At 47.6% G+C, this 14,039-nt stretch overlaps 1 protein-coding gene across 24 annotated transcripts in view; it reads right to left on the reverse strand.

The window, feature by feature from the left end:
- LARGE1 (LARGE xylosyl- and glucuronyltransferase 1) overlaps nt 1-14,039 on the reverse strand; it is an 856,162-nt gene that overhangs the window by 211,271 nt on the left and 630,852 nt on the right. For 21 of the 24 annotated variants that reach the window (XR_007067993.1, XR_002958722.2, XR_007067994.1 and 18 more), the window contains one exon: nt 5,269-5,415. The exons of the other annotated variants lie outside the window; for them this stretch is intronic. Coding sequence is in view for 18 of the 21 variants with exons in the window: in XM_024452302.2 (XP_024308070.1) it covers nt 5,269-5,415 (147 nt within the window). In the remaining 3 variants the exon portion in view is untranslated. The remainder of the gene's footprint in view (nt 1-5,268; nt 5,416-14,039) is intronic. 24 annotated transcript variants of the gene reach the window in all.

The raw sequence follows: 14,039 nt of genomic DNA on the forward strand, positions 1-14,039 counted from the left end.
ATCAGACGGTCCCCCATGACTCTCACCCTGTCCAATGCTCTCCCCTTGAGGCAGAACCTGTGAGTATGTATGTGATCACTCCTGGGATTATGGTACATTATATGGCAGAAGGGATTGTTCTAGATATAAATAAGGTTACTCACCACTTTACTTTGTGTGAAAATGGGAGATGATTGAATCATGTGACCCTTTAGACCTGGGTCTGGAAGAAAGCAAGGAGCTATGTTGGGAGCTGCCTATGGGGGCCATGTGGCAAATTAACTAGACTCTAGGAGAGCAGTCCCTGGCCAAAAGCCAGCAGGAAAATGGGACCTTAGGCCTAGGAACGAAAGGAGAGAAATTCTGCTAACCACCAGTGATCTGGGAAGAGGAGAAATGCAGGTCTGCTGACTCCTTGATTTCAGCCCAGTGAGATCCCAAGCAGAGAATCCAGTCATTCCATGCCTGAATCTCTGATCCCTAGAGACTGTGAGATCACAAATTTGTTTCAAGCTGCTATGTTTGTGGTAATTTGTTATACAGTAGTAGCAAATGAATACAATCATATAACCACAATAAGAAGCAGCTAATATTAGTTAACCACTTACTGTGTACTGGGACTATTTTAAATCTCTCTCTCTCACACACACACACACACACACACACACACACACACGCAGATATTGTTTTAAATTCTTATAACTTACCAAATGTCAAAGTACAAGTAGTCAGTGGTGGAGTTGTGATTCAAACCCGGGAAGCCTTGCTCAAAGGCCAGGAGCCTCCTTAAGCACTTCACCTCTCTTTTTTTATTTTTTTATTTTTTGGGATGGAGTCTCGCTCTGTCTCCAGGCTGGAGTGCAGTGGCACGATCTTGGCTCACTGCAACCTCTGCCTCCCCGGTTCAAGCGATTCTCCTGCCTCAGCCTCCCAAGTGGCTAGGACTACAGGCACGCATCACCACGCCTGGCTAATTTTTGTATTTTTAGTAGACACGGGGTTTCACCATGTTGGCCAGGATGGTCTCCATCTCTTGACCTCATGATCCGCCCGTCTTGGCCTCCCACAGTGCTGGGATTACAGGCATGAGCCACCACGGCCGGCTGGGTCACCTCTCTTATATGTCCCTGTCCCCCACACTTCCTGGCCTGTTGAACGAGTACTCAACAATTGTGCACTAAACTGAATGAATGAATGAGTAACCTAACAACATGAGAGGCACCTGAGACAGGTCCATGTGTGAGATGGCAATATGCCTCTAGAAGCTACAGAGAGACGGCAGGAAGCTGGGCATCTAGTGAAGGACTAGACAGGGCCCAAGAGAAGAGTTAGGAAGAGTATCCAGAGCTGGAAAGAAAAGCTTCATGAAATGAAAACAAGACAGAAGGGTGGGAACCCAAGAGCATAGCTGCAGGGAGAGAGGAAGTGGAAGTCTGGGTTCCATCTCATCCTGTGGGCAGTCTCTCCAAAGCAAGGGAGGCGCTAAGTGAGACTGAGTGTTCCGTGTGGCCAATGGGACACTTTCTGGCAGGGAATGCAACTGCTTCCTTCTTTTGCTTTTCTACCACTGAGGCTGGACTCCCCCCAAACCCTCAGGGAACTGGCCAGTGCAGCTGAATGGGCACTGGCCAATGGGTGGGCTTTGATCAAGTTGTGCTGTTGGGTGAGACAGCCAGGCTAGGGGAGGGCAGGAACTTGAACTTCAGCTCCATCAACACAGCAACTTCCATCAAAACCAAAGCCACTTAAATGGAAGAAAAATGAAAGGTGAAGCAATGCCATTTTCATGGAGTGTGGAAAAGGGATATTGCGGGAGATGTCAATTTCGGGCATGATCCAACAATTAGGCCCAGAAGCAGTTGCTTTTCCATTTGTGAACTTGCTGAATGGGCAGTCTTAACACCTGATGCCTTCAACAGAACTGGCACAGCACAGCTGATGGCCGTGAACTTGTATGAGGTTTTAAAGCACAATGGAGCCATCAGGCCAGGGTTCAAATCCCACCTCTGCCACTTAGGAGCTGAATGCCTTGCAGAACAAAATGCTTTAATTAGCCGTTAATTTCCTTTTGTGTCAACTGGGGAAAAGAATACCTATCTGGTTGAACTGCCAAAGAGCTTAAGTGAGAAAATATAAAGAGTCTGGCGCAGTATTGACATCTAAGAGGAATTCAATAAATGCTAGTTTTATAACAAAGTGGTTAAAAGCAATGGTTCTGGAGGCTGCCTGCCTGGGTTCCAATTCTGTCATTCAACAGGTATGGGTACATTAACTACTTGGCACCTTTGTTTCCTTCTCTTGGCAAAACGGACACAGCAATATCTACTTCATAGATTTATGATGATTATGTGACTTAATTCACATACAGTACTCAGAGTAGTTTCTGATATATGGTAACTCCTCAAAAAAAAAAAAAAAAAAAAAGAGAAAGAGAAAATTCTCTTTATTATTTCTCCTTGTTTGCTTCCCAGATATGATGTCAATTCCTGGTGGTCTTGCTCTCAGTGATATTGACAGCCATGTTATTGGTCATCCACCTTTAGAATCTAAACTCTCAGAAAATTATAATGTGAAAAGGAAGGGAAAACAATGGGGGAGACGGCGCCATTGCACTCCATTGTAGGGACAGCTGGGTCAGTTCTAGTCATCTGGCTGAGGAGGCAGCTTTGATCAGTTTAGCCTGGACACTGGCAGCTTGCAGAAAGGCTGGGCAGCACAGGGTGCAGTCAAGTTACAATGAACCTCTCGTTAAAACAAGCCCCAGCCTGTGAATGACCTATTGCCAAATGCCAGGTAGCCTCCTTCCCTGCTAAAAAAGGGATGGGAAGATGAGAGAGGTTTCCTAGGTACACCTTACAGGATGCTACTGGGGAGAAGAGATTTGGGGCACTTTGCTTTAAGCAGTGGTTCTCAAACTTGAGTATGCATTAGAATTATCTGGAAGACTGGTTCCAATTCCAGAGTTTCTGATGCAGGAGGTCTGGGCTAGGCTTGAGCCTCTGCATTTCTAACAAGTTCCTAAGTGATGCTGAAGCCACTGGTCCAGGGACCGCATTCTGGAGCCACCGCCCTAGAGGACTTGTAGGGGTGTGGATGTTTTCTCATTCCAGGTGTGGTAGGGAGCAGATTTCGGCTGCTCAGAGGCTGAAGAGTTTGTTATTTGGAGAGCAGGTGACAATAGCAATTTCTCGGAGACAAGGGCTGTAACTTAGCACTTGGCATGATGGCTGGCAAGCTGCTGGCCAGAGCAGCAATCACGGACACAGCAGGCCACACCCCAGCTCTTGTGGCCACAAATGTGGCTGTGAAATGAGTTCTCGGTTCACTGTGGTATGAAGACGGCAGGAAGGATGCCTTGGAAATGTGTCAGGTGCTCAGCCATCAGACTATGGCATTCATGGGAGACTTATATTAAGGTTTGGTTTGAAAGTCTCAATTCTGAGGAGCAAGTTTTTACTCTGCATCTTTAAACACTGGTTAAAAAAAAAAAAATTCAGGACTCAATCAGTAGCTGGATGGCATTCTGACTGAGAACACAGGTTCCTCAGACCTGGTACGAATCCAGGCTCTGCTATTTACTGGCTGTGTGTCATTGGGCAAGTTATTAAACTTCTCAGAGCCTCAGTTTCATTATCCATGCAATGGGGATGATAGTATCTGTCACATAGGTTTATTGTGAGAATTAAATATGTAATCACGGTGCCTGGCACATGCTAAGCACACAATAAGTGGTAGTTATTTCTTTCAGAAAAGAAGGAAGGCTTGGGTTGGGTGGGGGGTTACTAACTCTTCCAGGCCACTTTCCAGAATTCTGGATAGAGGAAGAAGCCTGGAGTTTGAGTCTTGGCTCTACTGGGACCTCTCCACTCCTCAGTTTCTTCATCTGTATAAAATGTGAAAAATGATAGCCTCTGAACTGTTGAACGAACAACCCACCTCATAAAGTTATTTTCACAAGATAAAGTTTATTTGAGGAAACTTGCTAGAAATTTCTAGAAACTTAATTGTGGTAGGAAAACCCAAGTTATTAAGACTATAATGTTTTCAGTAAAATTCCGATGGTCTAGAAACGTATGCTTTTTAGCTTCCAGGAAGTGTTGGCCATTCTGACATCATTCACAAGGGTGGCCTCACTTTAACACTGGAGCAGGGCCAGGCGCAGTGGCTTAGGCCTGTAATCCCAGCACTTTGGGAGGCCAAGGCAGGTGGATCACCTGAGGTCAGGAGTTCGAGACCAGCCTGACCAATATGGAGAAACCCCGTCTCTACTAAAAAATACAAAATTTGCCGGGCATGGTGGCACATGCCTGTAATCCCAGCTACTCAGGTGACTGAGGCAGGAGAATTGCTTGAACCCAGGAGGCGGAGGTCGCAGTGAGCCGAGACCACGCCATTGCACTCCAGCCTGGGCAATAAAAGCGAAGCTCTGTCTCAAAAACAAACAAACAAAACAAACAAACAAACAAACACAAGCAAACACCTGGAGCAGGCAGACGTACCAGCCCTCTCTTTAGACTGCTCAGTTACGGCACCTAGCAGGCCACCTACTTTCCCCTGGATCACTACATGTAATGCTGCAGCCTGTCCCCAGGACATGGAACCTGTTTGCTCCTGTGCGGTGGCACAGACTCCTGGGACACTGGGGACAGGTGACAGGGGAGCTCCCTTGCAATGTTCCTGCAGGACTCGGGGGCCTGGGAAAAAAGGAAAATCAGGGTTCTGTTTGCGACTGTCACTTGGGCAACAGGAAAGCTGGCTGCCACATGTGCTGGGTCACCTTGATGACTTGAAGTTGTTGACACAACGGCTACACGTCCCCCAGGCCTCAGGGGCTCAAAGAACAGACCACTCATACCACAAATAAAAAGGAAAACTGCCACAGTGGTGCTAATAGAATGAAACCCACCTACCAGACGAATGAATGGACAAGCACACAAAAGGGAGAACTCGGAGCCAGGAGATGGCAGCAGGAACCTAAACTGAGTTTAGAAAAAAGGACAAACAGAAATAAGCTAAACCTTCCTACCCTTCCACCCTCCAAACATGCCTACCCTTCCATCTGAACACATAACGTCTGTCATCCATGCACAAAAAAGTACATGGCACGTACCGGCATGGGGAGAGGAGGGAGATTACAAGGACGTTGTCTGGAGAAAGCGGTGCTTTCCTGGCCTCACAATGGACTAAGGCGAGCGACAAACTTCCAGATCGATAGCTTTGGCATCTGGGTTTCCCAGGAGAAAGAAGGCCTTCGAGCACCCCCAGAGTACAGCAGCTAGAGCCACTCACCTGAATGTGAAGAGGGTCCCCATGTCCAGCATTGACAGCAACTCCGCTTTTGACTTGGGGAAGGACAGCCGGTAGCGCAGTGTCTCGAACGCGGGGACAATCATTGCTTTCTTGGTGTTGGCAAGATCGAGCTGGATGACAGACTTCCTGAAAAGAGGGGACAGGCAGAGAGACAGAGTCCCTGTGACACCAGGCCAAGGTCTTTCCCCCATGAGGGCGGGGTGGTCATTGGCCCGGGGAAGTGTGGGAAAGAAAGCTCAGGTCATCCTCTCAATTAAAGATGGGGAAACTGGGCCAGGTGCGATGGCTCACGTCTGTAATCCCAGCCTTTGAGAGGCCGAGGCAGGAGGATCACTTGAGTTCAGGAGTTTGAGACCAGCCTGGCCAACAAGGTGAAACCCCGTTTCCACTAAAAATACAAACAAATTGGTGGGGCATGGTGGCACACACCTGTAGTCCCAGCTACTTGGGGGACTGAGGCATGACAATTGCTGGAGCCCGGGAGGCAGAGGTTGCAATGAGCTGAGATTACGCCATTGCACTCCAGCCTGGGTGACAGAGATAGATTCTGTCAAAAAAAAGGTGGGGGGAAGAAAGAGAAAGAAAGAAAGAAAGGAAGAGAAAAGAAAGGAAAGAAAAGAAAAGAAAGAAAAAGTAAAGAAAGAAAAAAGAAGGAAAAGAAAGAAAAAGTAAAGAAAGAAAAAAGAAGGAAAAGAAAGAGAAAGAAGGAAAGAAAGAAAAGGAAAAGAAAAGAAGAAAGATGGGGAGCCCTGGGAGGCAAAGCAAGTTGCTAAACACTTGGGGAACCCAGAGTGGAATGGGATCTGCTGTCCCCGAGACAGAGAACTTGGTCTTCCTGGAGAATAAACAGAGGGCAGACCAGACTGAGGGGCTGGGAGAACCTCCCACATGTTTTCAGTGTGTGCTCCTGCCAGCCAGGCACAGAAGGAAGGCTTCAAAGGATCACAGGGGTTACAGCCCAGCCTGCTTGGTTCCCTGGGCTGGTCAATCACTCCGACTGCACCCCTGGCCGCACCAGAGCAGGTGGACAGAGAGCCGATGAGAGAATCACCAAACTGGGCACTTTCAGGTTCCATTTCAGTGACTCCTCAACTCCTTGAATTCTCCAGACTCCAAGCCTTTAAAGCAGCCACAGCCACCCTAGGCAGCCAGTGCTGGTGAGACAGAGCTCTGGTATCTCCCTAAGAGAAAGTTAAAGTCTTGCCTTAGTGCCTGGCCTTCCACTCTGCTCCTCCGAGACCCGATCCTGCACGCCTGGGTTTGTCTGCCTTTTCTCAGCTCTGTGGTGGTTACTTGGAAAGGGAGAAAGGCTCATGGAGAGCCATCCACGGCCAAGCATTTAGTGCCATATGGCATGAGGCTTTTTTTTTTTGGAGATGGAGTCTTGCTCTGTTGCCCAGGCTGGAGTGCAGTGGTGCAATCTTGGCTCACGGCAACCTCAGCCTCCCGGGTTCAAGCGATTCTCCTGTCTCAGTCTCCCGAGTAGCTGGGACTACAGGCACATGCTGCCACGTCCATCTAATTTTTGTATTTTTAGTAGAGACTGGGTTTCACCGTGTTGGCAGGATGGTCTTGATCTCTTGACCTTGTGATCCGCCCGCCTTGGCCTCCCAAAGTGCTGGGATTACAGGTGTGCACCACTGCGCCCGGCCAGCATGAGGCTTTTAATAAACACAGACTGGATTTGAACCCTGGCAAGGTCACTTTATGAGACCTGCCATCCTGGGAAAGCGATTTAGCTCCTCACTACCTTTGGTCCCTCGTCCCTAAAATGATGGCAATAACATCTACCTCCTGTGGACCGAACAAGGTCGTCATATACTGCCACTTGGCACACCTGGCCGGGGCAGGCATGCTGGGACAAGTGGTCACTATTACACTGCAGTGCTATCACGACTCCCTGGCTTGGATATTCTGTGATCACTCTTGGCCAGGACCTAGGAATTCATTCTGGCTCCTGCTTGGACACTGACCTTTGGGTCTCAGGGTCATCATGGCTGTCTGTTTCCATCTCTGAGATACAGAAAGCAGCCTTTCCTGGGGAAAAGGTAGGCATTGTAAGGCATTTTGAAAAACCACTGAAAGCAGCAGCCCTCCTTGGCCATACAACTGTCCATTGAAGGCCAGGCATGGTGGCTCACGCCTGTAATCCCAGCCCTTCGGGAGGCTTAGGCAGGCGGATCACAAGGTCAGGAGTTTGAGACCAGCCTGGCCAATATGGTGAAACCCTGTCTCTACTAAAAATACAAAAATTAGCCGGGCGTGGTGGGGGGTGCTGGTAGTCCCAGCTATTCAGGAGGCTGAGGCAGGAGAATCGCTTGAACCTGGGAGGTGGAGGTTGCAGTGAGCTGAGATCACGCCACTGTGTTCCACCCTGGGCGACAGAGCGAGACCCTGTCACAAAACAAACAAACAAACAAACAAAAAAACCTTGTCCTCCATTGCTGTATTATTAAAGTCACTTCACTCAACCAGACGTTGAGCCTGTGCATTAGCAGGGACTAGAGCTGGCGTGCAAAGAGGAATCATACCATAAGGAAGTGACTAAGTTAGCCCAGGCCTGAATGGGACAAAACAGGGTGGCAGTCCCAGAAGGACACAGGACATCAGCAGGGCTTCGTATCATTGAATAATGAGGGGGAACCTGGATCAGGTCAGAATAAGGACAGTTTCCTAAAACCATCCGTGGTTAATGGATCTCACCAGCTCCCAGTAGAGAGGGGGTGGTTGGGATGGGCTGGAAGTTCATTTTGGAACCCTCTGAATATCATTTGCAGTTCACTCTTTACCATAGTGCTCATGTTAACTATATACCAAATAATATATAGCTCTCTCACCACTATTCCAGAGGAGGTTCGTAAAGGACGACAGCAAGATACAGAGTGTGGACGAGCTCTACTTAGCCAGTCTGAGGACCAGAGGTTTGAGTCAGCCTGTCCCAGCCTGGATTCTTCTCCCGCTTTGTCTGTCTGAACAATGTTAGTTTTCAAACATCCAAGATTCCCTCCTCTGTGGCCAGGCATCTAGTGTCAGCTAGCACTCTCTTTTGTATCAATCCTCTATTGGATAGGGGCAGAGCTAGGCTATTTACCTTTCCCCCTGGAGAGGTGGGTACCTTATCTATTGATTCTGGGTATTGGGGGTGGGATATATGGATCTAAAGAATATACTTGGACCAAGACAGCAAAGCCCTTGGAATCCCTGGGGCAGGGGGGAAGGTGTCCCAGTATTGGTGGGTGGTTGCTACCCATTCAGCAATCACCCAGCACCTATGATGTGCCAGGCACTTGAAGATACAGGGTGAAAAGAACAAGCAAAGTCTCTGCCCGCATGGTGCTTACATTCATATAAACGTCTCGAGATGCTAGAAGCCTAAGGACAAATCTCTCTAAACTGGGGCCCCAGATTGCATTTGTAGCTGATTATTTTAGAATACAATGCTATAGAAACAGAATAGAAGGCTGCGAGGGCAGAACTATAAAGGGAATGGGCAAGATATAAAGACACATACACATATATACACGATGGATACAGAGATCTACAAACATGGATGTTTGTATCTATATAAGGATCAAGTTACTATTATCATCAGTTGCTATAGGAGCTGCTTCTTAGAGATTAATTCCTGCTAGAAAATAATTCCCCTTTCTATGGGGGCAACCTGCCCCTATACATAGAAGCAAGCTCTCAGAGCTCTCTGCCTGCCCTACCTGCACCCCTGGCAAGGGCAGGTTGTTTAGGATTAGACACTTGACCCAGGCTGAGCACATCAGTTTCTTACTCTTGGAAATTTGAATAGAAATAGAGACTGGGAAAGCACAGAATTGACTTTCAGTGATGACAGACCATGCTCTAAAGACTTCTGAACTGCTGCAGAGGGGCCCAGAGCTGCCCTGGTTAATTGCTGTCTTATGTGTTGGTTTTCCAAGTCCTAGTTTGATTCTATAAGATAACCCATCCATTATTTGCTTTGTTTTTCTTTGATTTGTTTGTATTTTACTTAAGCTACCTGGTATTAGTTTCTGTTGCCTGCAACTAAACAACCCTAACCAATATACTGGAAGACCCAAAGCAGACAGACTCAGCAAGCAGCATGCCTCACAATTACAGTCCTAGCAAGCCTTATTTCCCTCTGCATAGATAGCACCAGATTCCAGAGTGCTTTCTGCAAACTCCCTTTCATCTCACTAAAATACAAACTGCCACAAAGATGGATCTGTCACCAGATAGATCTATTTCAGAGTCAGTTCAAGTAGGTTTCAATACCGATGTCCTGAAAGGGTCTCATTATGAAGTTGTTTCAGCAATAAACAAGGCTTCATGGTACAAACTCTGAGCTCATCTGTTTATTGAGAAGGTAACAGCAGCCTGGGTCTTTCTGTTCTGTGTTCTGTTAGTACATCTTACCCTGGATGGGGCTTGCTGTCTTAGGGGTCAACAATTTGCAGCCATTAGTTCTCTGGAAAGTGAGTCCTGCAGAGGATAGAATGCAGAGTCTTCCAGGAACAGTGGGGCAGGACGATGAGTGAGAAAGCTGGGCGAACAGCCAGGAGACTTCAGTTCTAGGCCCACCCTGAGAAGCTGAGTGACTTTGGGTTACTCTATTACTCTTTAGATTGCTAAATGTAGATTATTAAGATGGAAGCTTTGGAGGACAGTCAGGTGTAGTGGTCATTAGACAAGGCGTCTAGCTCTGACTCTACTAGGCTGTCTTCTTGGGCAAGTCACTTTCACTATTTTGAGTCCTGGGGTTGATGCACTTGAAAAATATGTTGATGAGGATAAGCACAGTGCTTGTGGAAGGGCTTGCTACAAGGCCTGGCACACATTAAGCACGGGGTACATGATGCCTATGATGGTTCCCTTTCTGTATCAGATGGCCCAGGCTATGGCGCCCAGTTACTGGGTCACATACTAGTCCAGACACTGCTGTGCAAGTGTTTCATAGACGTGTTAAACTGCAATTACTTTTGCACCAACCTAATAGCTAACATGTACAATCAGTTACCTTTAAGGAAAGGAGATTTCCCTTGATAATGTGGGTGGGCCTCATCTAATCAGTTGAAGGCCTTAAGAACAAAAACTGAGTTTCCCAGAGAAGACGGAATACTGCCTTAGGACAGTAACACAGAAATCCTGCCTCAGTTTCCAGCCTGCTGGCCTGCTCTGTCAATTTCAGACTTGCCAACCCCACAACAGTGTGAGCCAATCCCTTAAGCTCTGTCAATCTATCAGTACACATATCACTATCTAGCTCTGCATATTGATACATATATTACTATCTATAGGATATACTATATACATCTCCTATTGGCTCTGTGTCTCTGGAGACCCCTGAGGACTGTGCTGGTAAGACATGCTGCTTACTGAGTCTGTCTACTGTGGGTCTTGTAATATATTGCTTAGGGTTGTTTAGCTGCAAGCAACAGAAATTAATACCAGGTACCTTACCTAAAATAAAAAGTGTCCTAATTCCGACCTGGTCCAGATTCCTCCTCATCATTCAATGATACCAAGCTCTATTGATGTCCTTCTTGGACTGCCACTCTGTTCTTGTCCCCTACATGGGCCTGAGCTGACACAGTCTCTTCCTTATGGTCTGACTCCTCTTTGCAGACCAGCTCCAGTCCCTGCCTATGCACAGGTTCAAAGTTTTGTTGCCCTTGTCTTGTCCAAGACACTTGCAAGAACATTCACAAACCTACTATAGTATATTGGATCAAGGAATTATTATTATTATTATTATTATTATTTTAGACAGAGTCTCGCTCTGTTGCCCAGGCTGGAGTGCGGTGGTGCGATCTCGGCTCACTGCAAGCTCCGCCTCCCGGGTTCACGCCATTCTCCTGCCTCAGCCTCCCAAGTAGCTGGGACTACAGGTGCCCGCCACCACACCCAGCTAATTTTTTGTATTTTTACTAGAGACAGGTTTTCACCGTGTTAGCCAGGATGGTCTCGATCTCCTGACCTCGTGATCTGCCTGCCTCAGCCTCCCAAAGTGCTGGAATTACAGGCATGAGCCACCGCGCCCAGCTGGACCAAGGAGTTCTTAAAACAATATAAATAACTCAGAACCTTGCTGATACAATGGGAAGCCCTGTGAACATAAGTGACTTGGAGCCAGACAGCAGCAGCTTCCAAACCTGACTGCTCCTCTCTCTCCTGACTTCAGGCCCATTCTGCAACCTCTCCCAACCACAGGTTCCCCATCTTAAATGGAGATAATAAAGGCTTATCTCTCATCTCTCAGGGCTCTAGAGCCCAAAGCAGTGCCTGACTTAGAATTAACTCATTAACAAACAAGTCCCCTTCCCCTGTCACAGCTGAGCCTACTGGTGCATCCAAGGCAAGAGAATGGGCGAGAGTGAAGGAGGATTCAGAGAAGTCAACATACTACTTACAACCAGGGAAGACTTCTGCTTGCTCATCTACAGAAACAGAACTTATGAGATCTCGGTCTCTAGCCAGCCCTCTGAGTCCCTCTTTGTAACAAAAACAATTCAGGTGTTGCTCACAGAGTAAATTCACCTTTTCCAGCGTGGCAGAGCTAACCAGTGGGGAAACTGTGAATTTGATAAAGGTTATCCTCCAAAGCCCCCCACAGCCTCCTCTTCTGTATATCTTTTTTCCCCGAGCCCCTCCTCTCAGCTCACTCAGGTATATGGGTAGTTCGTATCCTCTTTTGCTCCAATCTGGCAAAACTGGCGAGCAGGGGAGGGGATGTGAGTGTGAGTGAGCAGTGAGGCTTCCTATGCCAAATGAAGGGGTAGGGGTGGGTGCAGATGGTAGGCTTGCCCGGGTTCTGCATAAACCAAAGAAACAGCATGGATGGAAGGGCAGAGTATTAGCTGGATGGGTTTCCCTGGTGCTACGGTGGCATGGAATTACCAATCCTCAACCTGACCCTGGCTGTTGATCTCTTTCACATACATACACACCTCCCTCCCTCCATCTCATTCTCTCTTTTTAACTCCATCCTTTCCTCTAGAGGCAGGTCCCTGTAACCAGGGAAACAGCCCAGGTTCCTGGCATGAAGAGATTACGGGAAAGTGTCTCGGAAGACATAAGGAAACGCCGTGCACTGCCTAGTTCTGACAACTTCACCTCCTCGGAGTCACAGTGGTTCACATTCTAGAGGCAGGCTGCTCGGGTCTGCATCCTGGCTAACTACTTAATTAATCTCTTGGTTCTGCAATTTCCGTATCTGTAACATGGAATATCTATAAAATGGGAGTCAGGTAGAACGAGAAGAGGAGCCAGCAATGGGAACTCCTGGGAGGGACCAAGAAGATTGAAGAACCACAAAGAGACTGCGATGAGCACCTAAAAGCCAGGAGAAAATAAAACGTGTGCCATGGAGGAGTCACCGGCAGTTGGAGGTGGCTGAGAAGTCAAATGAGATGAGAGCTGGGGGCTGGCAGCTGGGTTTGGCAACATGGAGGTCGCTGGTGGCATCTTCCCTGACTGCTAGCATCTAGGGCACCAGTCAAGTAGGTGGGTGTGAGGGCCATGGCCATTTAGAAGTTCCCTTCCCAGCTAGGCGCGGTGGCTCACGCCTGTAATCCCAGCACTTTGGGAGGCTGAGGCGGGTGGATCACCTGAGGTCAGGAGTTCGAGACCAGCCTGACCAACATGGTGAAACCCTGTCTCTACTAAAAATACAAAAATTAGCTGGGTGTGGTGGTGCGTGTCTATAATCCCAGCTACTGAGGAGGCTGAGGCAGGAGAATCGTTTGAACCTGGGAGGCAGAGGGTGCAGTGAGCTGAGATTGCACCACTGCACTCCAGCCTGGGCAACAGAGCGAGACTCCATCTCAAAAAAAAAAAAAGAAGTTCCCTTCCTCACCTCTGGTTCTGCAAAAATAAGTCAACACAGTGCAAGGCTGGATTGCTAATCAGGAAAAGGATCCATGTCACAACGCTGGCCAATTTAGTTTCATCTTAAGTGTCTAGAAAAATTAACCTATGTTGGTCCACAGGAGAGGATATAAGGAAAACTCTACGACCAACACCTAACTCCTTCACAGTGAGTGAAGACCCGGGAGAAGAGACCCTTGTGGTCCAATCAGACCCATCCTGGAGTCCCACAATGGTCACGATTTGCCTGAAAATGGGATTCCAGTTACTTGCCAGTTTCCACCAAAGGAAGAACTCCCTAAATCCTGTCTGTCTACCCTTATGCATTCTCCTCTATTCAGCATTCCCTGAAATAACTTCCTCCTCTCTCACTGGTGCGTGCTTAGGTATTGTGCTATGGTGTCCCCCAACATTCATGTGTTGGAAGCTTAATTCCCAATGCAGCAGCAGAGGTGGGGCCTTATGGGAGGTGTTTAGGTCATGAGGGCCCCACCCTCATGAATACATTAATGCATAATGTATTCATTACATTAATACATTTAATACATAATGTATTACATCAATACATACATAATGTATTACATCAATACATTTAATACATAATGATTAAAAAAAAAAAAGCTTGACAAGAGAGAGTTTGGTCCCATTTTTTTTGCCTTTCCACCTTCTTCCACGTGAGAACATGGCGTTCCTCCCCTCTGCAGGATGCAGTGTTCAAAGAACCATCTTGGGGCCGGGCGTGGTGGCTCACACCTATAATCCCAGCACTTTGGGAGGCCGAGGTTGGGGGATAACCTAAGGTCAGGGGTTAGACACCAGCTTGGCCAACATAGTGAAACCCCGTCTCTATTAAAAATACAAAAAATTAGCCAGGCATGGTGGCACACACCTAT

This window comes from Homo sapiens, chromosome 22 (assembly GCF_000001405.40).
Source record: "Homo sapiens chromosome 22, GRCh38.p14 Primary Assembly".
NCBI classification, from domain to species: domain Eukaryota; kingdom Metazoa; phylum Chordata; class Mammalia; order Primates; family Hominidae; genus Homo; species Homo sapiens.